This window comes from Homo sapiens, chromosome 4, assembly GCF_000001405.40.
Source record: "Homo sapiens chromosome 4, GRCh38.p14 Primary Assembly".
NCBI classification, from domain to species: Eukaryota; Metazoa; Chordata; class Mammalia; order Primates; family Hominidae; genus Homo; species Homo sapiens.
The window spans coordinates 2,693,413-2,720,978 of record NC_000004.12 but is presented as its reverse complement, the minus strand read 5'-3'; the positions used below and the strand labels follow the sequence as shown (position 1 = coordinate 2,720,978).

At 45.5% G+C, this 27,566-nt stretch overlaps 1 protein-coding gene across 13 annotated transcripts in view, besides 3 other annotated features; it reads right to left on the bottom strand.

Moving 5' to 3' along the window:
* The window catches only part of FAM193A (family with sequence similarity 193 member A), a 197,199-nt gene that overhangs the window by 11,595 nt on the left and 158,038 nt on the right, over positions 1–27,566 (bottom strand). For 8 of the 13 annotated variants that reach the window (NM_001366316.2, XM_047416341.1, XM_011513590.3 and 5 more), the window contains 5 exons: positions 27,105–27,393; positions 25,850–26,033; positions 24,386–24,616; positions 20,435–21,299; positions 4,875–4,956 (listed from right to left, as the gene is read on the bottom strand). In NM_001366316.2, the coding sequence (NP_001353245.1) occupies positions 4,875–4,956; positions 20,435–21,299; positions 24,386–24,616; positions 25,850–26,033; positions 27,105–27,393 (1,651 nt within the window). Of the gene's footprint in view, positions 1–906; positions 1,000–4,874; positions 4,957–5,485; positions 5,658–12,710; positions 12,834–20,434; positions 21,300–24,385; positions 24,617–25,836; positions 26,034–27,104; positions 27,394–27,566 lie in introns of those variants that run through there. The other 5 variants (NR_046336.2, NM_001256666.2, NM_001256668.2 and 2 more) reach the window with 5 other exon arrangements.
* Positions 8,448–8,667: an enhancer, noted in NCBI's record as "active region_21180". NCBI's record gives its function as "activates an Ori minimal core promoter by ATAC-STARR-seq in GM12878 lymphoblastoid cells {active_cell/tissue: GM12878}" and the evidence as "EXISTENCE:reporter gene assay evidence [ECO:0000049][PMID:35858748]".
* Positions 23,875–24,224: an enhancer, noted in NCBI's record as "active region_21179". NCBI's record gives its function as "activates an Ori minimal core promoter by ATAC-STARR-seq in GM12878 lymphoblastoid cells {active_cell/tissue: GM12878}" and the evidence as "EXISTENCE:reporter gene assay evidence [ECO:0000049][PMID:35858748]".
* Positions 24,924–24,983: an enhancer, noted in NCBI's record as "active region_21178". NCBI's record gives its function as "activates an Ori minimal core promoter by ATAC-STARR-seq in GM12878 lymphoblastoid cells {active_cell/tissue: GM12878}" and the evidence as "EXISTENCE:reporter gene assay evidence [ECO:0000049][PMID:35858748]".

Below are 27,566 nucleotides of genomic sequence, written 5' to 3'. Positions count from 1 at the left end.
GTTGGTCTCAAACTCCTGGCTTCAAGCAATCCTCTTGCCTCGGTCTCCTAGCACTGGGATTACAGGCATGAGCCACTATGCCCGGTCCTTGACAGCTTTTATGATACTAACCCTTCCTGTCTTTGGATAATGAATCTCTGTGATTTAGATCTTCTTTAATGTTTTCCAATAAAGTTTCAGTCTTTTGTATACAAGTCTTATGCAACTTTTGCCAGATTTATCTGTGGATAGTGAGAGATTTTGGTGCTATTATAAATGCTCTTTTGAGCTACATTTCCAATTATTTGTGGTGTGGGTATAGAGAAAAATAACTGTTTTTTTTTTTTTTTTTAGACAGAGTCTCACTGTTGCCCAAGCTGGAGCACAGTGGTGCATCTTGGCTCACTGTAGCCTTGGTCTCCTGGGTTTAAGGGATCCTGCCACTTCAGCCTCCTGAGTAGCTGGGACCACAGGTGCATGTCACCACACCTGGCTAATTATTTTATTTTTTGTAGAGACAGTATCTTGCTATGTTGCTCAGGCTGGTCTCAAACTCCTGGGCTCAAGTGATCCTTCCACCTCAGCCTCACAAAATGTTGAAATTACAGGTGTGAGCCACCGTGCTCTGTTTAAAAACAAAAAACAAAAGCAAATAACTTCTGTACTGATCCTACACAGTTAGCCCCTTGCTGTAAGTTCTTTTATATTTCCTATGTAGACAATTAGATCACCTGTAAAATTGATTTTTAGTTCCTCTTTTATACTCCTTTAGCCTAGGAATTACAATTTAAGGTTGAATATAAAATACTTTTTTTGGAAATCTACTGATCCATGATCTACTAAGCCATGATCATATGGCTCTTCTTTAATATATTAATGTAGCAACTAACATTAGTGGATTTTCTAGCTGGGTGCGGGGGCTCACACCTGTAATTCTGGCGCTTTGGGAGGCTGAGGTGGGCAGATCACTTGAGGCCAGGAGTTCGAGACCAGCCTGGGCAATGTGGCGAAACCCCGTCTCTACAAAAAGAAGAAAAAAAAAATTAGCCAGGCATGGTGCATGTGCCTGTAGTCCCGGCTACTTGGAGGGCTGAGGTGGGAGGACTGCTTGACCCTGGGGAGGTCAAGGCTGCAGTGAACAGTGATTGTGTCATGGCACTCAAGCCTAGGTGACAAGAGTGAGACCCTGTCAGAAGGAAGGAAGGGAGGGAGGGAGGGAGGGAGGGAGGAAGGAAGGAGGATTTTTTTTTTTTTTTTTTGAGAGTGTCTCTCTGTTGCCCAGGCTGGAGTACAATGGTGCAATCTTGGCTCACCACAACCTCCGCCTCCCAGGTTCAAGTGATTCTCCTGCCTTAGCCTCCCGAGTAGCTGGGATTACAGGCATGCGCTACGATGCCTGGCTAATTTTGTATTTTTAGTAGAGATGGGGTTTCTCCATGTTGGTCAGGCTGATCTCAAACTCCCAACCTCAGGTGATCCGCCCGCCTGGGCCTCCCAAAGTTCTGGGATTACAGGCGTGAGCCACCACGCTTGGCCAATAAAGTGGATTTTCTAATATGAAACACTATTTGCGTTCCTGGGATAAACCAATTTGCTCATGGTATACTGCTTTTTAAAATACACTGCTCGATTTGGTATATTGTTTCTTTTTTTTGAAAATTACACTGATGTAGGTATGAGAATATTTTTGAGACGGAGTCTTGCTCTAGTTGCCCAGATTGGAGTTCAATGGCGTGATCTCAACTCACCGCAACCTCTGCCTCCTGGGTTCAAGCAATTCTCCTGCCTCAGCCTCCTGGAGAATATTTTCTTTAGGATTTTTGAATCTAATATGAGTGAGATAAACCTGTGATTTTTCATTTTTTCTGGTATTGTTTTGGGCAGATTTTGGTATCAGAATTTTACTTGTCTCATAAAACAAAGTAGGGAGTATTCACTTGTGTGTGTGATGTCTCACTCATTTAAATTCACTGGTAGAGTTTGCTCAAGACTGGATAATCCATTCTTTCAAAGTCTGAAAGTTTGGTAGAATTCTCGGTAAAACTGTTAAAATGTAGTTTTCTCACTGAGACTTACAGCTATTGTTTTCATTTCTTTAGTAGTTACTGGACCATTCAGGCTATTTTTACCTCAGGTTGATTTTGCATTTCATAGTTTTAAAGTCAATTGTAATGAAGTTGTTCCCAGTGTTCTCTTATTTTAATCTCTCCAGTATCTGTAGTTATTTCCTCCTTTTCACTTATATATTTACACACTTAAAAAAAAAAATTTATTTTTGAGACAGGGCTCTCGTCACCCAGGTTGGAGGGTAGATGCACAATCTTGGCTCACTGCAACCTCCACCTCTCAGGCTCAACCCATCCTCCCACCTCAGCCTCCTGAGTAGCTGGGACTACAGGCGCATGCCACCATATCTGGCTTACTTTTTTTGTATTTTTTGTAGAGACAGGATTTCACCATGTTGCCCAGGCTGGTCTTGAACTGACCTCAAGTGATCCGCCTGTCTTGGCTTCCCGAAGTGCTGGGACTACAGGCATGAACCACAGCACCCGGACAAAACTTTTTTTTTTTTTAATTACTGACATTTTCAAACACACACAAAAACAGATAGTATAGCATAATGAACATAGCCATCACCTGACTTTGATAGTTATCAACATCTTAATTCTTCTTCCATCTAATTATGCTATTTTTTGTGTCTTTTTTTCTCTATTATTCTTAATCTGTCTCCTAAAGATTTATTTGGTGTTTTCAATCAATCATATTTTAGCTTTGTTGATCTTCTCTACCAAATCTTTGTTTTCTATTTCATTATCTCTCTTATCTCCTTCTTTATATATTCTTTGGTTTATTCTATTGTTCTTTTCCTAATTTCTCAAGTGAAATCTTTAACTCATTATGTTTCAGGATTTTTAAAAACTAATTTAGGCAATTATAGCCTTACATAAACAGCTCTAAAAAGTTAACGTTTTTCGATATCCCGCAGGTTTTCATATGCAATGTTTTAATTATCTTTTTAGTTCTGTGTATTTAAAAATTTTGACAGTCTGGGCGTGGTGGTTCACACCTGTAATCCCAGGACTTTGGGAGGCCAAGGGGGGGTGGATCACCTGAGGTCAGGAGTTCAAGATTAGCCTGGCCAACATGGTGAAACCTCGTCTCTACTAAAAATAAAAAAATTAGCTGGGCGTGGTGGCAGGCGCCTGTAATCCCAGCTACTCGGGGAATTTTTTTTTTTTTTTTTTCAGACAGGGTCTTGCTCTGTTGCCCAGGCTAGAGTGCAAGTGCCGTGATCATAGTTCACTGCAACCTCAAACTCCTAGGTTCAAGTGATCCTCTGGCCTCAGCCTCCTGAGTAGCTTGGACTACAAGTGCATGCCTGGCTTTTTTTTTTTTTTTTTCCTGAGACAAAGTCTCTCTCTGTTTCCCAGGCTGGAGTGCAATGGTGCTATGTCGGCTCACTGCAACCTGTGCCTCCCAGGTTCAAGCAATTCTCCTGCCTCAGCCTCCTGAGTAGCTGGGATTACAGGCTCTTGTCACCACGTCCAGGTAATTTTTGTATTTTTAGTAGAGACGGGGTTTCACCATGTTGGCCAGGCTCGTCTCGAACTCCTGACCTGATCAAGTGATCTGCCTGTCTTGGCCTCCCAAAGTGTTGGGATTACAGGTGTGAGCCACCAGGCGCAGCCTCTAGTCCAGTTTTGTTGTTTTTATTATAATACAAATGCACGCTTAATCACACCTGTAATCTCAGCACTTTGGGAGGCTGAGGTGAGTGCATCACTTAAAGTCAAGAGTTTGAGACCTGCCTGGCCAACATAGCAAAACCCTGTTTCCACCAAAAATACAAAAATTAGCCAGGCGTGGTGGCAGGCCCCTGTAATCCTAGTTAGTCAGGAGGCTGAGGCAGGAGAATCGCTTGAACGTAGGAGGTGGGGATTGCAGTGAGCCCAGATCACAACATTGCACTCTAGCCTGGGTGACAGAGACTCTGTCTCAAAAAATAAAAAAAATGAAATAAATAGGCTGGGCGCGGTGGCTCACGCCTGTAATCACAGCACTTTGGGAGGCTAAGGCAGGTGTATCACCTGAGGTCAGGAGTTTGAGACCAGTCTGGTAACCACGGTGAAACCCTGTCTCTACTGAAATACAAAAATCAGCTTGGTGTGGTTGTGGGCGCCTGTAATCCCAGCTAGTCTGGAGGCTGAGGCAGGAGAATTGCTTGAACCCGGGAGGCAGAGGTTGCAGTGAGCTGAGATCGTGCCACTGCACTCCAGCCTGGGTGATAGAGTGAGATTCCCTCTTAAAAATAAAATAAATAAAATTTTGTTGCCATTAATAATTCACATAGTAGTTAAAACATTATAGAACAAGCACTGATAAAACTTGCCCATCAGGAAAACAGCAAGTATGTAAAATGTTACTTTTCTTCTCAAAAGCATACCACTCCAGTGTGTTCAACCATCAGCATATGTGAGGGTCACCCGGAAGGCTGTCAAGAACGTAGATGCCGGCCCCTTCCCAGAATCTGATCCGACAGGTCTAAGTAGGGGCCTGTATCCCCAGGAGACGCTGCTGGCCCAGGACACCTGGAGAGCCACCGCCTCAGAAGCGCAACAGCCAGTTGGCGGGGAAGGGTGGGGGGGAAGCCACTGCCATCAACTATTTTTCTAGCATGTGAGGGGGAGCAGAAGTGATTGTGTGAGTGTTGGGAGTATGGGAGGGGTGTGTGTGGCTGGCCTGTCCTACTACAAGGCTCTTCAGAAGCCATGTTGTCTGGCTTGCTTGATGTAACTTCGTCCAAGACAACTAGAAGTGCCATGGAAAGACAGAAAACCAAACATGTATGGCAAGCACACAGTCACCACGGTTTCAGACACAGCCTCCACATTTACCTTTTGAAATATTCCACTTCCCTCTCTGTCTCATCCATATCCACACTGTCTAGGTCAATATCTTTAGGTAGAAAGACATCATCTGTAAAACAAAAGAGAAGCAGCAAGTCAAATTACAGCAGCAGGCTATCTTATCAGAACGGAAGAAATCATTTGTCTTCGCTCAATTTAAACAACTTCAAAAATTGTAAACATTTTTTCTAAAATGAGATTTTAGAGGACAGATCTCTTTGGTGTGCTTATGAACACCCAGGTCTGACCTGGAAACTGCAGAACTCACATGTCCACTAAGCAAAGCAACTGTGGCTTCAGGTCCCGTTAGAAGACATGTTTGCCAGAACCTAGACTCCCCATGTGACTGGTCATTATATGACAGGCAGCCCATCAGAGAGCCCTTTAGCAAGAAGATTCCCAGAAATCTAATTCGCACGCAAGCCCAGGGACTGCCCTAAGTCTCCGTTGGAGTCAGGCAGAGCACAGCTGCCAGCAGAAGCTGCCCAGGGGACAGGCCCATGTTAAGGAAAGGGCTGTCCCTCGAATGTGCCCTTGACAGGAAGAGGACCCAGACATCAACCCTACAGGAAGGTGGTTCTCCCAGGCATTCATCTCACCCATATGACATCCAGAGATTTCATCAAAAACTTTTTTCTTTTTTTTATATGAAGTCTCATTCTGTCACCCAGGCATGATCTCGGCTCACTGGAACCTCCATCTTCCAGGCTCAAGTAATCCTCCTGCCTCAGCCTCCTGAGTAGCTGGGATCAAACGTGCACACCACCATGCCTGTGTAATTTTTATATTTTTGGTAGAGACAGGGTTTCACCATGTTGCCCAGGCTGGTCTTGAATTCCTGGGTTCAAATGATCCACCCACCTCGGCCTCCCAAAGTGCTGGGATTACAAGCGTGAGCCACTGTGCCTGGCCAAACACTTTCAAGTTGTTCCAAACAAAAACCAAGGCTACATTTCATGCTGCAATTACACAACCATCTTTGAAAACAGGCAGGATAGCAGGGAAATCATTGATTGAGAATTACTCAATTTCCTAGACTCTCAGGCAAGTTTGAGAATTTCTACTTCTCTGTTCTGTTCTGGTCACTTATCTAATTCAATCGTGAATACATTCCCGGAGGCTTATGTGAGCCTTAAGTATCAAAGAGGGTCCAGCAGCACACATCTGGGCTGGGGCGGGGTTGGGGGGGTGCAGTGCACACAGCATTCAGCCTCATCGATGTGAACAAAGAGGACAGGAGCCACTGACATTTCTTTGTTAAAGGTGAGTCTCCATTTCCCTGCAGCCCTCAACACGGGACAATTTTTCAGAACCTTTAATAAACACTCCATTTCTTTCTACCACTGGGGAATTTCCATGGTAGCATGAGGCACGTTTTACTCGCATAATAGCAGCTAATATTTTTGACAACTCACACAGCACCAGGCAAGTGCTTTCAAGTGTGTTTGTTCACAGACATGTCACTTAGGAGTCTCTCTCTAGGGACCTGCTCTATGACAGCCTTGGCTATCTCGGATCCCAACTGTATCCCTGAGGGCACACAGCGGGGTGGAGGCCACAATCACTGGTGCCACTGGGACTGGGTGGTCTAGGAATGAAGGCTGGGTGTGTTCAGGGAAAGGCCTGGGAAAGTCAACCTTTGGTAATCTACACTCAGGAGGAAGGGAAAGATTAGGTTAAAGGAAACGCAGCCAATAGCTCAATCCTGGCACAGAATAGCGGATGTGACTGGAGAGTGAGGACAGCCCCCAGCCACAGCAGGCTCCACATGTTTGTACAGAGAGGTGCTTCAGGGCATGGGAAAGCATTCTGAGTCTCGATTTTTAAAAACTCAAGCAGCAGAAAGGAAGCACAGAACACCGTCTGCTGATGCAGGAAACTGATGCACAAGCAAGGGTGAGAGAGGGCCGGAGCATTTACAGATGTACAAAAAGTGAAGATCTAAGAAAGCATGATGTCAGCAGCCGCCCACAAGAAGTTCTAGAAGAAAAGAGCTCCAACTTGAGGAGGAAAAAGAGCTGGCATGTCTGCTGGAAGTGCTGTCATAATAGATTTCTAATACTCTCTTTTCCTGACTAGAACTAGAATAATCAGTCTATAAAATCTTGGTGTAAGAAAAACAGGAAACACAACTTTAACCAATTTGGTATCAGGAAAAAATTTTTTTACAACAACCACACTATATTAAACAGGAGAAATCAGTTGATCCAAGGATTTTATATCCAACCAAACTATCTGTTCATTGACAACACAACAGGTCAAAGTTTACTTCTCCAGAACTCAGAGAATTCTGTGGCCCTACTCAAGGCCACTGCCTGAGGATGAGCTTCACCAACCTGAAGACACCTGGGAACACTCAGCAGAGGCAAGCGGGAGCCCTGTTGTAGTAAATTGTGTACCTAAGAATACCGTGTGTTCTGACAGAGCAGAAACACCACCAACAAAAAATGGGAAGAGGAGAGACAGGGAGACAGGAAAGAGAAAACACAAAGAATGGAATTCACTCACTGCCTGCTGTGGAGGCAATGAGTGGGTGTCAGAGGACCCCCTAATGCCAACACAGCAGGCCACGAGGGGGTACACAGGGAACCCAGGCCCAAGGAGCATGAGTGGGGTATGCAAGTCTATAGGAATGCACTAGGAAAAAAGCACCCATTTTCCTAATACCCCAATTTTTTTTTGTTTTCTGATAAGGAGTCTCGCTCTATTGCCAGGCTGGAGTGCAGTGGCACGATCTCAGCTCACTGCAACCTCCACCTCCTGGGTTCAAGCAATTCTCCTGCCTCAGCCTCCCGAGTAGCTGGGACTACAGGTGCGCGCCACCACGCCTGGCTAACTTTTGTATTTTTAGTAGAGACAGGGTTTTCACCATGTTGGCCAGGATGGTCTTGATCTCTTGACCTCATGATCTGCCCCCCTCGGCCTCCCAAAGTGCTGAGATTACAGGCGTGAGCCACAGCACCTGGACAATTTTTTTTTTTTTTTTTTGAAGCAGAGTCTAGCTCTGTCGCCCAGGCTGGAGTGCAGTGGCACAATCTCAGCTCGCTGCAACCTCCACCTCCCAGGTTCAAGCAATTCTCCTGCCTCAGCCTCCCAAGTAGCTAGGACTACAGGTATGCACCACCACACCTGGGCTAATTTTTGTATTTTTTAGTAGAGATGGGGTTTCACCATCTTGGCCAGGCTGGTCTTGAACTCTTGACCTCAGGTGATCTGCCTGCCTCAGCCTCCCAAAGTGCTGGGATTACAGGCATGAGCCACCACGCCCAGCCCCACAATTTTTTTTTTAAATAAAAAAGCAAAAAACCCCACAACACATTTTAAAAAAACCCAAAAAACAAAACAGTAAATAGAAAATACAGAAATTATAAAATAATGACAGGGTTGAGACCAACCACATAGTTATATCACTAAGTGTGAATGGGCTTAACTGACTGAAAAGAAGATTTTCAATTTGGCTCACAAAGCAAGCCTCAGGTTTGCTTCACACAAGAGAACGTCCTAAAACCAAGGCACTCAGAAAAAGGCTGGAAACAAAGGGCCAAGGACAAGGCTGTCTCGTCAGGCAAATGGGCCGAAGGAGAGCAGGGGCAGCAGTCACAACGCAGACAGAGCAGGACTTAGGCCGCAGGCACAAAGCACGACCAGAAGGTGGCCGCTTCTCAACACAAAAAGCCACAAGTAACTAAAAATATATAACAGGAATGTGCACCAAACAACACGGAAACAGGAGATGCAAGAAAACACAGAAACATATTAATAATAAGCCACAGAAGACAGGCCATGAGGACACAAAATAAGGATATACAGAAGACTAAACAACAGAATTAATGTATCATGGAGGTGTATACATATATGTATCTCCATATGTAAATACATACGTACATATATATACACACACACACAGTGAACTCTATACCAAGACCCAAGAAAATACACTTCTATCAAGTACACATGGAGGAGTTACAAAAGCTGACATACACTGGGCCTCAGAAAGTATCAATAGGTTTTGCAAAACAAAAGCAATATTCTCTGATCACAATGAAAAAAACCTGTAAATTATTAACAACAACAAAGTTTCTCCTCTTGGAAATTTAAAAGCTGCCTATTACACTATCGAGTGAAAGAAAAAAGACGCATGGAAATTACATAATTTCTTTTTTTTGGAGATGGAGTCTCGCTCTGTCTCCCAGGCTGGAGTGCAGCAGCACCATCTCAGCTCACCACAACCTTTGCCTCCCAAATTCAAGCGATTCTTCTGCCTCAGCCTCCACAGTAGCTGGGACTACAGGCACGTGCCACCACGTCCAGCTAATTTTTGTATTTTTAGTAGATACAGGGTTTCCGAACTCCTGACCTCAAGTGATCTGCCCGCCTCGGCCTCCCAAAGTGCTGGGATTACAGGCATGAGCCATAGCGCCCAGCCCAGAATTTCTTTAAAAAAAATAATGGAGGCTCGGCGTGGTGGCTCACGCCAGTAATCCCAGCACTTTGGGAGGCAGAGGCGGGTGGATCACCTGAGGTCAGGAGTTCAAGACCAGCCTGGCCAAGATGGTGAAACTCCGTCGCTACTAAAAATACAAAAATTAGCCAGGCGTGGTGGTGCATGCCTGTAATCCCAGCTACTCGGGAGGCTGAGACAGGAGAATTGCTTGAACCCAGGAGGCAGAGGTGGCAGTGAGCCGAGATCATGCCACTGCACTCCAATCTGGGCGACAGAGAGAGACTCCATCTCAAAAACAAAACAAACAAACAAACAAACAAAAAAGGAAAAATTATCTATCAGATTCCATGGGATATTGTTAAGAAAAAGATCAGAGGAAAGTTCCACGTGCTGAACACTTTTATCAATAAAAATGGAAGAAAAAACAAAATGAACTGAATTTCTAAATTAAAAAGTTAGAAAAAACCCCAAGAAAGTAAAACAAAAGAAAGCACAGTGGCCGGGCGTGGTGGCTCACGCCTGTAATCCCAGCACTTTGGGAGGCCAAGGTGGGTGGATCACAAGGTCAGGAGATCGAGACCATCCTGGCTAACATGGTGAAACCCCGTCTCTACTAAAAAATACAAAAAATTAGCCGGGCGAGGTGGTGGGCGCCTGTAGTCCCAGCTACTTGGGAGGCTGAGTCAGGAGAATGGCATGAACCCGGGAGGCGGAGTTTGCAGTGAGCCAAGATCACACCACTGCACTCCAGCCTGGGCGAAAGAGCGAGACTCTGTCTCAAAAAAAAAAAAAAAAAAGAAAGCACAGAAAGAAAATAAAGACGAAAGCAGAAATTAACAAGGTAGGCTGGGCACGGTGGTTCATGCCTGTAATCCTAGCACTTTGGGAGGCCTAGGTGGGCAGATGGCTTGAGACCAGGAGTTTGAGACCAGCCTGGACAATCTGGCAAAATGCTGTTCCTACAAAAACTACAAAAAAATTAGCCGAGTGTGGTGGTGCCCACCTGTGGTACCACCTACTTGAGAAGGTGAGTGGGGAGGATCACCCGAGCCCAGGGAAGTTGAGGTTGCAGTGAGCTGTGAGTGTGCCACTGCACTCCAGCCTGGGCAACATGAGTGAGACTCTGTCTTAAAATAAAAAATAAAAAAGAAAGAAAGGAGGTAAAGAAAAACAGTAAGCTAGGCACAGTGGCTCCCACCTGTAATCCCAGCACTTTGGGAGGCCAAGGCGGGTGGATCATGAGGTCAGGAGATGGAGACCATCCTGGCTAACATGGTGAAACCCCATCTCTACTAAATATACAAAAATTAGCCAGGCGTAGTAACACGCGCCTATAATCTCAGCTACTCGGGAGGCTGAGGCAGGAGAATAGCTTGAACCCGGGAGGTGGAGGCTGCAGTGAGCCGAGAACACGCCACTGCACGCCAGCCTGGGGGACAGAGCGAGACTCTGTCTCAAAAAAAAAAAAAAAGAAAAAAAAAAAAAAACAAAAGAAGAACAGTAAACCTAAATAATAAACTCAGATGATTTTAAAAAACTAACAAAATACATAAACTATTAACTTAAGCAAAATAGGGAGAAAGGAAAAATACACAAACTAAGAAATGACAGGCGAAAATAATCATTGCAAAGAAATTTAAAACTATGACTAGACTACCTTGCAGACATCTATGCAAATAAATTTGAAAATCTAGTTGAAAAGAATAATTTACTACAGAAAGATGGTTTACCAAAATTAACCTCACTAGAGATAGAATAATTTCCAGAGAGGAGAGAAGACTGCTAGCAAGGACCACAGAAAACACACCAGGTCCAGGGGGCTTGCAAAGGGATTTCTATCAAACCTTTAAAGCCTGGATGGTCCCAATGTGAATTGTTCCAGATCACTGAAAATGTAAAAAACAAGAAAATTTCCTGTGTTTTGTTTTGTTTTGTTTTGTTTTTGAGGTGGAGTCTCTCTGTCCCAGGCTGGAGTGCAGTGGCGTGTTCTCGGCTCACTGCAACCTCCACCTCCCGGGTTCAAGCTATTCTCCTGCCTCAGCCTCTTGAGTAGCTGAGATTACAGGTGCGTGTTACTACGCCTGGCAAATTTTTGTATTTTTAGTAGAGACGGGGTTTCACCATGTTGGCCAGGCTTGTCTCGAACGCCTGACCTCGTGATCCGCACCCCTCCTCGGCTTTCCAAAATGCTGGGATTATAGGCATGAGCCACCGTGCCCAGCCAAAAACTTCCTAATTCTTTTTATGAGGCAAGTATAATATTGATACTCAAAGCTAATACAGACAGAACAAAAACGGAAGTCACAGACCCATCTCTCCTAAAAATAATATAGATGTAAATATATTAAATAATGTAAACAGATTCCAAAACAAAAGGATATACCATAATCAAGTGAGCTTTATTCCAGGAATTCAAGTTCAGTTCAATACTTAAAAATCAAATAATGTAAAACATCGTATTAATACATCTAAGGAGAAACATCATGGTTATCTCCACAGATGCTAGAAAACCTTTGAAGTTTAACACCCATAACACCCATTCCTAATGAAAAACACTCAAGAGATGAGGAATCGCTGGATTTTTTTTTAACATTAAATTTTTTTAATGTGGCTAATTTTAAATAATTATCTTATAATATATAAACCTTAACCCTAAAGCCAACATCTTACTTAATGTGGAAACACCAGAGACATTTCTGTTAAGATCAGAAAAGATGCAGTTAAGTAAAAGACAACAATTAGAGGCGTAAGAATTGAAAAAGTAGAAGTAAAACTTTCTCTATTTGTACACATATATAATAGAATGCCTGGAAAACCCCAGAGAATCAACAGTAAGACTCAAACAATAAAATTCAGTAAAGTAAAATATATAAAGTTAACATACAGGCAGGGCGAGGGGGCTCACACCTGTTAATTCCAGCACTTTGGGAGGCCAAGGAGGGCAGATCACTTGAGGTCTGGAGTTCGAGACCAGCCTAGCCAACATGGTGAAACCCCACCTCTACCAAAAATACAAAAACTAGCTGGGCATGGTGGTGTGCGCCTGTAATCCCAGCTACTTGGGAGGCCGAGGCAGGAAAATCGCTTGAACCCAGAAGGCGTAGGCTGCAGTGATCCAAGATCGCGCCACTGCACTCCAGCCTGGGCGACAAGAATGAAACTCCATCTCAAAAAATAGATAAAAATTAAAAAAAATAAAAAATAAAAAAATAAAGTTAACATACAGCCGGGCGTGGTGGCTCACGCCTGTAATTCCAGCATTTTGGGAGGCCGAGATGGGTGGATCACCTGAGGTCAGGAGTTGTAGACCAACTTGACCAACATGGTGAAACTCTATCTCTACTAAATACAAAAAATTAGCTGGGCATGGTTTTGCTTGCCTGTAATTCCAACTACTTGGGAGGCTGAGGCAGCACAATCGCTTGAACCTGGGAGGCGAAGGTTGCAGTGAGCCAAGATTGCACCATTGTACCCCAGACTGGGCAACAAGAGCGAAACTCCATCTCGAAATAAACAAACAAACAAACAAAAATCAATAGCTTTCATACACAAATAAATAACCAGTTAGGGCAGCACTATCCAATAGAAATACAATCTGAGGCTGGGCACAGTGGCTCACGCCTGTAATCCCAGCACTTTGGGAGGCTAAGGCAGGAGGATCACTTGAAGTCAGGAGTTCGAGACTAGCCTGGCCAACATAGTAAAACCTGGTCTCTACTAAAAATACAAAAATTAGTTGAGTGTGCTGGTGCGGCACCTGTAATTCCAGCTACTCGGGAGGGTGGGGCATGAGAACTGCTTGAACCCAGGAGGTGGAATTGAACCTGGGAAATAAAGTCCGCAGTGAGGCAGAGGTTGCAGTGAGCCGAGATTGCGCCACTGCACTCCAGCCTGGGTGATGGAGTGAGACTCTGCCTCAAAAAAAAAAAAAAAAATAAGAAATATAATCTGAAATCTGAGTCTGAGCCACACACAAAAGATTCTTCTAACAGCCACATTAAAAAAAATTTTTTTTAAAGAAACGGGTGAAATTAATTGCAGTAATATATTTAATATATCCAAAATATTATGATTTAAACATGTAACCAATATTAAAAATTATACTGAGATATTTTGCATTCTTTTATTTACACTAGGTTTTCAAAATCCAGTATATATTTTACACTTATAACACTTCTCAATTTGGACTGGCCACATTTCAAGTGCTCGATAATGACATATAACTAATGGCTACTGTATTGGATAGTTCAGAATTATAAAATATAATGGTGGAGAAGATCCCATTTAAATTAAAAACAATGGTGATTAAATGCTGAGAAATACACTCAGTAAGAAATGTGAAAAATATTTAAGAGAAAATTTAAAATATTCCTGAATGACCTGAAAGTAAACTTGAACAAATGGAAAAACATCCCTTGTTCTTGGAAGGAATGATCAATATCATAAAGACATCAATTCTCCCTAAATTAATGTATAAGTGTAATGGAATCCTGACAAAGATACCAACAACTTTTTTTTTTGTGGGGGGAGACAGAGTCTCACTCTGTTGCCTCGGCTGGAGCGCAGTGGAGCAACCTTGGCTCACTGCAACCTCTGGCTCCTGGGTTCAAGCAATTCTCCCATCTCAGCCTCCCGAGCAGCTGGGACCACAGGCGCTCGCCACCACACCTGGCTAATTTTTTTTATCTTTAGTAGAGATGGTGTTTCACCATGTTGGCCAGGCTGATCTCGAACTCCTGACCTCAGGTGATCCGCCTGCCCAGGCCTCCCAAAGTGCTGGGATTACAGGTGTGAGCCCGGCCCCAACAAGCTTTTTTTAAATGGAGCCAGGCACATTGATGCTAAAGTTCATATAGAACTACAAACATGAAATAGCCTGGGAAATACTGAGCTGGAAAAGCTATGAGGAGAGAACAGCCCTACGAGATATTACAACATGTAGAGCCTCTAAAAATAACTAACTAAATGCAATAATGACACAAGTAAACAGAGAGGAAAGGAAGAGAAATTCCAGAAACAGACCCAAGTGCATATTGAAATTTACTGTAGGACAGGACGGGAACGGTGGCTCACGCCTGTAATCCCAGGACTTTGGGAGGCCAAGGTGGGCAGATCACCTGAGATTGGGAGTTTGAGACCAGCCTGACCAACAAGGAGAAACCCTGTCTCTACTAAAAATATAAAATTAGCCGGGTGTGGTGGTGCATGGCTGTAATCCCAGCTACTTGGGAGGCAGAGGCAGGAGAATCGCTTGAACCCAGGAGGCAGGGGTTGCAGTGAGCTGAGATCATGCCATTGTACTCCAGCCTGGGCAACAAGAGTGAAACTCTGTCTCAAAAAAAAAAAAAAAAAAAAAAGAAAGAAAGAAATTTATTGTAGGACAAAGGTGGCATCTTGAATCACTGGGACAAGATGATTTTATTTATTTATTTTTGTTTTTGTAGAAACAAGGTCTCATTATAGACCAGTCTAGAGTGCAATGGCACAATTATAGCTCATTGTAATCTCAAACACCTGGGCTCAAGTGATCCTCCTGCCTCAGCCTTCCAAGTGGCTGAGACTACTGGTGTGCACCACCATGCCCTGCTATTTTAAAAAAAATATCTGTAGAGATGGGGTCTCACTATGTTGCCCAGGCTAGTCTCAAACTCCTGGGCTCGAATGATCCTCCTGCTTTGGCCTCCCAAAGTGCTGGGATCACAGGCATGAGCCATCACCCTCACACCTGGTCCAGGATGAACTTTCTAATAACTGGTGCTAAGGCCGGGCATGGTAGCTCACGTCTGTGATCCCAGCACTGTGGGAGGCTGAGGCAGGAGGACTGCTTTAGCCCAGGAGTTATAGCCAGCTAAGGCAATGTAGCAAGACCCTGTTTCTACTAAAAAAAAAAAAATTAGCCAGCATGGTGGCACGTGCCTGTAGTCCCAGCTACTCAGGAGGCTGAGGCGGGAGAATCACTTGAGCCCAGGAGTTCCAGGCTGCAGTGAGCTATGACCGCACCACCACACTCTAGCCTGGGTGACAGAGCAAGACCCTATACCCCACTTCCCAAAAAAAAGAATAAATAATAATAATGTGCTGGGACCACTCGCTAACCATTTGGAAAAAGAGAAATTGGATCCATATTTCACACCACAGAGAAGAAAAATTTCCAAACATATTAGGGATATAAATGAAAAAAAAAGAAACTACACAAACACTGGAAGGCAGCATGGGTGTGTTCCTCTTTAATCACAATGTTAGCGTAAAGCTTTCTAACAATTATTCAAAATCCAGAGGCAATAAAAAATCAAGAAGCTGACCGCATAAAAGGAAGAACATTTCCACCTGACTGAAAAGCATACACAAAGTCAAAAGACAACTTATGAACTGGGAGAGAATGTCTGCAGCATACTGCATGAGTAAAAGGCTAATGTCCCTACCATATAAAAAAATTCTTGGCTGGGTGCGGTGGCTCATGCCTGTAATCCCAGCACTTTGGGAGGCCAAGACAGGCGGATTGTGAGGTCAGGAGATTGAGACCATCCCGGCTAACACGGTGAAACCCCGTCTCTACTAAAGATATAAAAATTAGCCGGGCGTGGTAGTGGGCACCTGTAATCCCAGCTACTCAGGAGGTTGAAGCAGGAGAATGGCGTGACCCCCGGAGGCGGAGCTTGCAGTGAGCCGAGATCGCGCCACTGCACTCCAGCCTGGGCGACAGAGCAAGATTCCGTCTCAAAAACAAAAACAAAATTCTTAAATACAAAAGGGAAAAGACCAAAAACCTAGTAAGAAATGAGAAATAGGTATGAATAGAAAATTCATACACACAAAAAGAAATAGCCCTTAATAATATATTGACCTCATTGTAATTAGAGGAGAAAAATGCAAATGAAAACTACACTGAGGGCTTACTGTAGCTAACGGATTGGCAACAGTTAAAAAGCCTGACAACTACTCTATAAGCAAGGCTGTGGCCAAACAGGCACTCAGATGCTGCTGGTGGGTGGGCTGACTGGAGGGTTTGGAGAACTTGGACGTAGCTAGCAAAAAAACTATGAAAGCACTTACCTTTTTAAAAATTTTTATTTTATTTTTTTTTCAGATAGGGTCTTGCTCTGTTGCCCAGACTGGAATGCAGTGGCGTGATCTTGACTCACTGCAACCTCCGCCTCCCAGGCTCAGGTGATCCTCCTGCATCGGTGTCTCCAGTAGCTGAGACTATAGGTGAGTGCCACCACACCCGACTAATTTTTGTATTTTTAGTAGAGACAGGGTTCCACATGTTGGTCAGGCTGGCCTCGAACTTCTGACCTCAAGTGATCTGCCTGTCTTGGCCTCTCAAAATGCTGGGATTATGGATGTGAGCCACCATGCCCAGCCTTAATTTTTTTTTTTTTTTTTTGAGATGGAGTCTCACTCTGTTGCCAGGCTGGAGGGCAGTGGTGTGATCTCGGCTCACTGCAACCTCCACCTCCCCAGTTCAAGCAATTATCCTGCCTCAACCTCCCGAGTAGCTGGGATTATAGGCGTGTGCCACCACGCCCAACTGATTTTTGTATTTTTAGTAGAGACGGGGTTTCATGTTGGCCAGCATGGTCTCCATCTCCTGACCTCGTGATCCGCCTCCCTCGGCCTCCCAACATGTTGGGATAACAGGCGTGAGCCACCATGCCCGGCTGCTTTAAATTTTAAGAGACAGGGTCTCACTCTGTCACCCAGGCTGGAGTGCAGTGGTGCAATCATGACACACCGCAGCCTCAAACTCCTGGGCTCCAGCGATTCTCCTGCCTCAGCCTCCCAAGTAGCTGGGACTACAGGCGTGCACCACCATGCCCAGATAAGTGGCTTTTTTTTTTTTTTTTAGTAGAGATGGGGTCTTGCTATATTGCCCAGGCTGGTCTTAAATTCCCGGCCTCAGGTAATCCTCCTGCCTCAGCTTCCCAAAGTGTTGGGATTACAGGCGTGAGCCACCACACCGGGAACACACTTACCTTTTGACCCAGCCCTCTCCCTTCTGGGAAAGTGCTCCAAGGAAACACCTCCAAACAATATGGAAACACATATGCACACAAGTACTTACTGTAGCACTGGGTGTAATGATTAAAACAAAGCATTGAGTCCGGGCACGGTGGCTCACACCTGTAATCCCAGCACTTTGGGAGGCCAAGGTGGGCAGGTCACTTAAGGTCAGGAGTTCAAGGCCAATCTGGCCAACATGGTGAAACCTCATCTCTATTAAAAATACAAAAATTAGCTGGGTATGGTGGCACGTGCCTGTAATTTCAGCTACTTGGGAGGCTGAGGTGGGAGAATTGCTTCAACCTGGGGGGTGGAGGATGCAGTGAGCCGAGATTGCGCCATTGCACTCCAGCCTAGATGACAGAGTGAGACTCCACCTTAAAACAGAAACAAAAACAAAAAACCAAAGCATTAGAAACAACCTAAACGCTCGCACAAAGAAGAGTGACTGCAGAAATCATCGTACACTTTAAATGGAGTACCGTGTCGCTGCAGAAAGAATGAGGACAATCTCTACGAACTGATGTGCAGTGATTCCCAGAATATATGAAGTAGAAAAGAACCCAGAAGTCACTATTATGTCTATAATACACTACCTTTTATGTAAAAAAGAAAAGCAAATAAGAAACTGATTAGTTACCTACAGGGAGTGGGTGGGAACAGATTAAAAAAAAAGAGGAACTGGGTAGGGGAGAAAACAAATGGAACACAAATGGAAAAACGCAATCAGGTGTGTTTTCAATCAATAACGTAATTGTACTAAAGGTGAAAAGAACTAATTTAAGTCATTTGTAAATTCAGTGTAATCACCACACCCTGAGGCTAAAGACAAAAAGAACTGAACAAATACCGAAAGCATGCCCGGAGTTTTCCATCGGGTAAGGGCAGGGACTTCTGAACCCTTTACCTGTGTTGTAGGACTCAGCAAGTCAGTAAAGGCACCATGGATGATGGGGTCCAGGTTCTTACTGTCTAAGGAGTTACAAAGGTGGACGGGGAAGGGAGAACGCTCACTGTAGCACAGGAGTGGGGCTGGGATATCTGTGGGAACTCACGGCTTGTACATAGCAATTAGTGTGTGTAGGTGGCAGGCGCTCGTGTGCACATGCTCACACCCCCACTCCTCCTGCTCTGCTGACTGAGAGGGCCTAAAAGCAATGCCATATGGCAGTGTCCAGGTCTGGGTTTCTGAACACCACTGTTGAAGAAAGAGGAGGGCTCCTTGGAGAAATGGCTGGTTCAGGGCTGGGAGAGAGAAGACACGAGATGAGCCCGGAGCATCGAACCATGACACAAAGTATAAAATGCTTAAAGGCTGGTAGGGCCGCATCAAATGGTCTAAGGAAAAAGCCATTCCGAGGGGGCTCCCACTGACCGAATCTCAGACAATCAAAACAGCAACATAAAGAGTGTTCGTAAAAGATTCTCATCTATAGCATCAAGTAAAACTTCGTGGATCTATCCTGATATAACTAAGTGAATGAAAAAAACACATGAGGTTGGAAAGCTCTTCCTACAGTTGAATGGCAAGTAACAAATATAGAAAGAATAATATTAGAAAATTCACCATTTGGGCCAGGGGTGGCAGCTCACGCCTGTAATCCCAGCACTTTGGGAGGCTGAGGCAGGCGGATCAACTGAGGTCGGGAGTTTGAGACCAGCCTGACCAACAAGGTGAAATCCCATCTCTACTACACAAAATTAGCCGGGTGTGGTGGTGCATGCCTGTAATCCCAGCTACTTGAGAGGCTGAGGCAGGAGAATCGCTTGAACCCGGGAAGCGGAGGTTGTGGTGAGCTGAGATCGTGCCACTGCACTCCAGCCTGGACAACAAGAGCGAAACTCCATCTCAAAAAAAAAAAAAAATCACCATATGACAACACAGTAATAAACATTTCCGGCAAGAATCATTAATGGATGCTACAACTAGTCGGTGAATGTTCAATAAAAACAGGATACTCATTTCCCCATAAGACACTTACTAATTAGCAAAGGAGAAATATTAACTTGACCGTAGTGAAAATGGGCAGACCAGCTCAACCCAGGATCAGAGTTCCCATCCCCAGTGATGGGACAGACACCGTCACCCACTTCCTGGTGGGATATACCAACAGGGACTGGCCACATCAGTGGTGTTGCCGCCAAAACATGGTATCTGAACCTGACTGGGAAGACATGGGGCATGCACCCTGACCAAGGGATCCTCTAAAAAATAAATGCGCTGCACTCTTCAAAAAAGTAAAGGTCATGAAAAACAGAGAAACCGATCCAAAGGAAAGGAAATTAAAGAGATACGACATGGGATCCTGGATTGGATCCCATGTCAGGAGAAACAACAAGAGCTTTTTTTTTTTTTTTTTGCTATAAAGGATGTTAAAAGGACAATTGGAGAAACATGAGTAAGGTCTACAATTAGAGAATAGCATTGGATCAGTGTCAACTTCTTCATTTTGATCACTGTACTGTGGTTTTATAAGTGTCTTTATCTTGAGGAAATATACATGGAAGTATTTTAGGTTAAAGGGGTATCATGTATGAAGTGACTCTCCTTCTGTCCAGAAAAATAAGAGAGAGAGGGAGAGAGAGAATAACGAAGCAAACATGGGAAATACTGATGTTGGGGAACTAAAGTTGGGGAACTGGAGGGGGTAGAAATCCTCTCTCTCTCTATATGTATTTTTTGAGATGGAGTCTCTCTGTCACCCACGCTGGAGTGCAACGGCATGATCTTGGCTCACTGCAATCTCTGCCTCCTGGGTTCAAGCGATTCTCCTGCCTCAGCCTCCCCGAGTAGCTAGGATTACAGGTGCACCACCAAGCCCAGCTAATTTTTTTTTGTTATTTTTAGTAGAGACAGGGTTTCAGCATGTTGGCCAAGCTGGTCTCGAACTCTTAACCTCTGGTGATCTGCCCACCCTGGCCTCACAAAGTGCTGGGATTACAGGTGTGAGCCACCATGCCTGGCCCCTCTACGCTCTTTTCTACAGGAGGGAGGCCACATGGCGAGAGCATGCCAAACCCAGTGTTTTCCTATACTAGCACATCACACATGGAAAACCAGGCATCGCTCAGAAATACCTTCCCGCTATTCTGTATTTACCAATTGAATTGTTGACTCTGTCTCCTTTCTTCTTCTTATTTTTCTTGTTCTTGCCCTTTGGCTGAGGGGACTCTGCCAGCACCAGCTTGCTGTTCTGCTGATGCTCACCGGGAGAGGTGGGCTCCATAGGGGTTGGGTTTGACTTTTCGTCCTTGATGTGGTTCAGCTGCTTTTTGTTATTGTTATTACTGTTGACTTTTCTCTCCTCTCTTTTCTGCTCTGTGATGGACATGAGGTCGACCACCTTAGCCTTTGACTCAGTCTGGGCCCGGGGCTTGGACTGCCCCTCTGTGGCCTTGGGGGGCTCTGTGGGCCTCCTCGCTGGCTCGCTGCTGGCCTTGCTGGTCTGCCTCAGCTTCTGCTTGCCATTTCCTTCTTTATGGTGCTGCATGATGTCGAAGAAAAAAGAGAGTGGCTCATGCTGCTTCCCATTCACCTCCTTGGGGAGGAGAAATTTGGAGTCTCTGGTGTCGACGGGGTCTGCAGCATCCCCATCAGCCCCTAGCCCTGGCCTGGGCTCTGAGTGGTTCATATGCCTGGATGGGGAGTGAGAAGAGGTTTCTGGTTCTTCAGTTTGCTCTAGTGAGCCATTGTGGATGTTTCCAGAGTTAGGAACAGACTCTGTTGCTGCCTGGAAATTTCTAGTGAGCATGTCCAACTTGGGGCAGTCTTTACTTGGCCTCTCCTTCTTCTTCTTTTTTACAGCTCTTAGCTTCTGAAGCTCCTGAAGCCGCTGAAATTCCTCCTTGAAACGATCCTCCTCTTCTTCCTCATCCTCCTCCTCCTCCCGCCGCCTCTGCTCCTCCTGGAGGTGCAGGTGCTCCCGGGCCCTGGCCTCTGCTTCTAGGCGAGCTTTCTCCTCCAGCTGCCAATGCAAAAAGAAGGCAATTTAAGACTACAGTGAGTGCTAAAAATTAAGTCATACAGAAAAACTAAGATAATTTCAAAAACGAATCACATATGGAACATAAACTCTGAAGAGGCTGTAATAAATCAAAACTTAACACACACCCACCTCCAATTCTCTTACTCTGCAGGATTGTTAAACTTCATCTATTTACTAAAGTATATGCTTACTTATTTGTGTGTGTGTGTGTGGGGGGGGGGGTGGTAGTTAACAAAAAATTCCCGATAGCCTTTGACCTGGTACTAAACACAGTAACCAAGGACAAAGCAGCTGCAAAGCACACATCCAGGGAGTCAGCTACCCCCTCACAGGTGCGGCAGGGCATCATGCCGCCTGGCCGAGTGGATGATGTAACCAATACCACAGACTGCCCGGGCAGTACTGAGGCTGTACACGTGCCGCCAGAACTCTGAGCAAACCCACCTTTCCAGGCGAAGGCTAATGCATTCACTTGAACAGGGAATGTAAGAAATGTGTACCAGGCTGGTGCAGTGGCTCACACCTGTGATCCTAGGAGTTCAAGAGCAGCCTGGGCAACATGGCAAAACCCCGTCTCTACAAAAAGTATCAAAATTAGCTGGATGTGAGGGCGCACGACTGTGGTCCCAGCTATTTGGGAAGCTGAGGTTTGAGAATCGCTTGAAGCCAGGAGGTTGAGGCTGCAATGAGCTGTGATGGCACCACAAAAAGCAATGTGTAGTAAAGAACTAGAAATTCCTTCTTCCCACCCTAGCAGATAAACAGAAGTGCCATATATTTTCACTAGTGTGACAGATGTGACAGAGCAAATGACTCACTGTCCAACTTGATGGAAAATTAATTTTCATCCCAAGTAAAGACAGCATTTGAGTAGTGATGCACACAAACTCCAGGGGCACAAATGGAAACTGTTCTTTGTGTTCAGAAAGCAGATGAGAGTCATCAGTGTTAGGAGCACGGCTCCACCCACCACCAACCTTTAGAAATGCTGGGGCTTATGAGAAACTCTGCCAAAAGCATTTCTCCTAGAGAAATAGAAAAGTACTCCCCAAGTGTAAATTATTTTTCACAATATTTTAAACAGGCAAATTGACTTGTCTTTTGAAAAACTTAAAAATTATGATAAAAATTTAACAATGGTATGTTATTAAAAATTTCATTTGACAATTCAAGTAAAAATTATTTAACATCCTTCTCCATGTGTATGTCAGGAGCAGCACCCAGCAGCCACCTCGTGGATGGGTCCTGCAGTCCAGTGTCTAGAGTGAGCTGTGGGCCTGCACGGGAGCAGAGGAGAGACCAACTCCATCAGGACACTCGCTGGCACACACTGGCCAGTTGGCATCCTCTCAGAGCTGATCTAAATCCAGCACACGTGCCTTGTCAATATATGGACAAATAACAAGCATGTAAAGGCAGGTGCCCTGGTCTCCAGCAGAACGGCTGCCCCAGCACAGGCCCCCGGTTTGGACCTGCTACGGGACAGAGTCCATAGGTCAACTATTGCTGTCCCTTCAACAACCAGCCAGCCAGTGAGCCTCAACACACATCTGTGAGCTGCTCTGTAAAATGGGTGCAGCGTAGAAAGCACCAGGAGGTGGTCCCTCGAGGTGGGACTGGGTGCTGGGCAGGGCCTATGACATCAGCCTCTAAGGTTCAGCTGGGCCTCAAGTCTGGATTCAGACCACCTGCAAGGTCAGAGGGCAAGAGCCTGGGGTGGAGAGTACCCTGAAAACTCAGGAAGGCGTCCCAGAGGCCTCCAGTGAATCCCAATGGGACGTCTCAGGGCCTTGGACCATCGTGGGTACCCCGATGCTGGACGCTCCTGAATGGAGGACACACTGTGTTCTCTGCACTCCAGCAGTCTCTAGTCTTCTGGGGCACGGGACAAGGCTTCTCCCCCAAAGCCTCCCAATCAGGCCCAATAGTCAGTCTAAATCTACTGTAGGACTGCGAGGTATGAGCAGAGCTCTTGAGGGTAGAACAATCACAACAGCTAAGATACAAGTAACAACACAGGACATCGGGCCCACCCTCTGGTCCACTGTGGGATCGTCCTCTTCCTCACCTTTTTGCCTGACCATGCTGCAGACAGAAACCTGGCCTCTTCCCAAGACCACTGTCCTACTGTCAGAACCCCAGGAACCTACAAGTTCCCTCTGCATGCAGCCCACATCTGCTCACTGAGGTCTGGTTCTTGGAGCCTGACACTTTTAGGGAGCTGAAACCAGAAGGCTCTTTGGAACTGCTCCAGCATAGGGGCATTTAGACAATCCTCCAAGAGAAAAAAGTTGTCTTTTTTTTTGAGACAGTCTCACTCTGTCACCCAGGCTGGAGGGCAGTGGCATAATCTCGGCTCACTGCAACCTCCACCTCTGAGGTTCAAGTGATCCTCCCACCTGAGCCTCCTGAGTAGCTGGGACTACAGGCGTACACCACCATGACTGGCTAACGTTTTTTGTATTTGACATTTGCTTTTTGTGACACACCATGCCCTCTGGTAAGGAGGGAACTGCTCATGTCTTCCCATGAAGACTTATTTTCCTCCCCTCTAATCAATGCCATGTGCTGGTCTTCATCTGGAACAGCAGTGGGACAAGAGCAGCATGGGGGACATGCTCAGACCTGAGTCCAGAAGACTTCCCTGTGCCAAGTGCCCCGCCCCAGTCTCATATCAAAGACACTTCTGAACCCACAGGCCCCAAAAGCCCACCTGGGCCTTTCTTCTATCATCTCTACAGTTGACGGCTCCTTTCTTCGAAAAGAAGGTTCTCCAGCAGATAAAGCTGGAGTGTCTGCTGCTGCCCTCATGATGGCCAGCACAAGAACAAACCCATTCTACAAAAGGGGAAGTAATTTCCCGAAAACACAAAGTTAAGTTTTTTACCAGTCTCCAGTTCAGGCCACCAGAGACAGGCTGGCTCTCAGAACAAAGTTGTGGGCAAGTGAACACACGTCAGAGCCCCGACCTCCTGTGGCTCAGCCCTGCCTAGAGACTGGCGTGGCACGGCACCTTCAAATGCCCTCAGACCTGGCGCCTCCAGGTGCTGAGAACTGTCACTTGCCTTCCTTTGCTTATGCCTTGCTCGCTTCGCTGCACGCGTGCTGCTCACTGGTTTGGTTTCGGAGCTATTTATAAACTGCAACAAATCCTCCACCCTCCGATGGTCAACGACGCTTTCCCTTTCTGAGATCTGGTCCATTTTTTTAGGTTGCTCCTCTTTCCTCTTGGTCAGCCGTAAGCGAAGCTTTTCCCTCATTTCTGCATAATTTCTACTTGTTGGTGCAGCTGGAGGCTGAGAAAAACAACAAAGTTATGCTTAAGTTTTAAAAATTTTGAATATAATAAATTTCAGACCACACCTCCAAAAATAAACTGTTTTATTACTCAAGTAGTATATATTTGTTGTGAAAAATAAGGAAATACAACAACCAGCAGAAAAAGAGAAAAACCTATCAGCAAGTCACCCAAAAGTGGCATTTTGATACCTACTCTCAAATTTTACATATTCATGAAAAACCTGATAAAGCATGTATAGCTATGCACATAAGTGGATTTTTTAAACTGAAAAGGAAACAATTACAAATCCTGATTAATGTATTTTATTTATTTATTTATTTATTTATTTTTGAGACAAGGTCTTGCTCTGTCACCCAGGTTGGAGTGCAGTGGTGCGATCATAGCTCACTGCAGCCTTGACCTCCTGAGCTCAAGCAGGGGTGTGCTGTCACACTCAGCTAATTTTCTTTATCTTTTGTAGAGACAGGGTCTCCTGTGTCGCCCAAGCTGGTCTTCAATTCCTGGGCTCAAGAGATCCTCCCTTAGCCTCCCAAAGTGCTGCTATTACAGGCATAAGCCACTATGCTTGGCCTCTACCTGTTATTTAACATGGTGTGAATATCTTTTCATGTCAATAAATGTGTCTGTAGTATCTTTCCATCCATTTGTGGGTTTCCTTTTTGGTGCCAAAAAAAGCCCTGAATCCTACTGCCAAATTTCTTGCTATAAAAACATGTGAACATTTTAGGAAATGCAAACAGAGCTAAAGCAGAAAAAGAACAACTATAAGCCCCTGCTATTCCTGTCACCCATCCCTCTTAAACAGTGGGTGATAATTGGTTGTATAAATTAAATCACAGCTCTGGAAAGATGGACAAGTATGTGTGTGTACCAACGCCCTCTGTATTCAAACAAGAGAAACCCAACTGCACACACACAACGCTGCTGTCGCTGGCTACAATGTTCCACCATATGGATACACCATGGTTAACAACCTCCTACCAATGGGTATTCAGTAGGAATACCTCACTGCTGATTTACCAGTTACCTTAAAAACCACAAAGTAAAAAATGAAGAAAAAAAATCATTATGGCTAAATCTTTGGGCATATATTTTTCTTTGTTTCTTTACAATGGATATACCCTAGAAGTGGAATATACCCCGAATTCAACCTAGTACAGAATTTCTGCAAAGGAGCCCGTGTGTTGCACACTTCCCACATCATGATGCGCTGACCTCATGCACTCACCCCGCCGTGCCCAAAGAATTCGCAGTAGCAGCAGTCGCAGTACTTGCCCTCCTTCTGGTTGGTGGAGGTCGAGGTGCTGGAGCTGTGCTCAGAGCAGCTGTCCTCATCTGCACTCTCGTCCCCATCATCCTGCTGTGGGTCGTAGACACCATTCTCGCAGCGGTGCCCTTCGCAGTCAGGGTCACTGCAAAACCGCATACAAGCTCATCAGCAAGTGGCCGGCCCGGGAGGCAATGACTCACATTGTTGCACATGACCACCCACTGTCCTGCCCATTTCACAGACAAGAGGCAGCGCAGAGGGTGCATAGTCCCAGGGTTACTAGGGAGTCATACACAAGCAGCAAGGGGCTCACGTGGGAGACATGGCGTGTGCGCATGCATGCAGGCGGTCCCTCAAAGTGCTCACAGAGCGCCACTGAACAGGAACACGTAGTCTCTCCAATGACTCCTTCTGAGACTGCCCCTGCCACCACAGCTTCCATACTAAGGGGCTTCGAAAAGGGGTATAGCTTCAAACAGGCGAGTTCAAAGGTAACAGAATTTGTCTTAAAAAGAAAGTCTGGCCAGGTGCAGTGGCTCACGTCTGTACTCCCAGCACTCTGGGAGGCCAAGGAAGGTGGATCTTGAGGTCAGGAGTTCGAGATCAGCCTGGCCAACATGGTGAAACCCCATCTCTACTAAAAATACAAAAATTAGCCAGGCATGGTGGCGTATGCCTGTAGTCTCACTACTTGGGAGGCTGAGGCAGAAGAATCGCTTGAACCCAGGAGGTGGAGGTTGCAGTGAGCTGAGATCGCACTACTGCACTTCAGCCTGGGCGACAGAGTGAGACTCTGTCTCAGAGAAAAAAAACAAAAAACAAAAAAACACACCTGTTGAGTGTTTGTTGTATTGTGTTTTTACTATATACACATTTCATTCATTTTCCTCTGATTCCACCCTAGGTATAACAAATACAACTTATACAATGAGTAAAAAACAATGCACACCCCCGATGCTGTCAGTGTTTAGGCGTAGTTGGCCCACCTATCCATGGCGGCCCACGGCCCCTGCTCTTCCCTCTGCAAAACTACAGGCTGAGATGGGAGCCCCCCTCTACCCATGGCCTCTGCTGGGGACATCCCTGCATTCCCTCGGCATTTCACTAGACTTTTCCACTGCATGGTCCCAGGGGAGTTTCTGTAGCTGTGTTAGTGAGGCATAACACCCATTTTCCAAAGTGCTCCCACGTCCCCAGTCAGGACTTGGCTCACCTGCAGACACTTGGAGGGGCGCTAATGGAGCCATCTGTGGCCGGGGGTAGGGGTGCAGGACAGAAACTCTTGCGTGTGTCCACAAACCCAGGAGTTGTGGTTGCTGTTTTGGGGAATGATGGGGCTGCAAGATTTGCAAGGTGAGGTGTGGAGGCAGGTGAGAGCGCAGCAGGTGACAGCGCAGCAGGCGAGAGCGCTGGGAGGGGGGCCAAGCCCGTGGGGCTATTCCTCGGGGCGGCTGGGGCCGAGTGTCTGTGGTCCTCCTTGCTGATGCCATGAAACACGTCACCTGCATTTAGAGAGGCGAGAGTCACTGCCAAGTTTGTTTCAAAAATGTTCAAACCTGTAGAAAATCTGAAAGAACACACAAAGAGTACCCATTCATCCTTCACCTTGCTTCATCTTCACGACCTAATATTCTGTCATATTTATAAACTTTATTTCTTACAGGCACACACACTT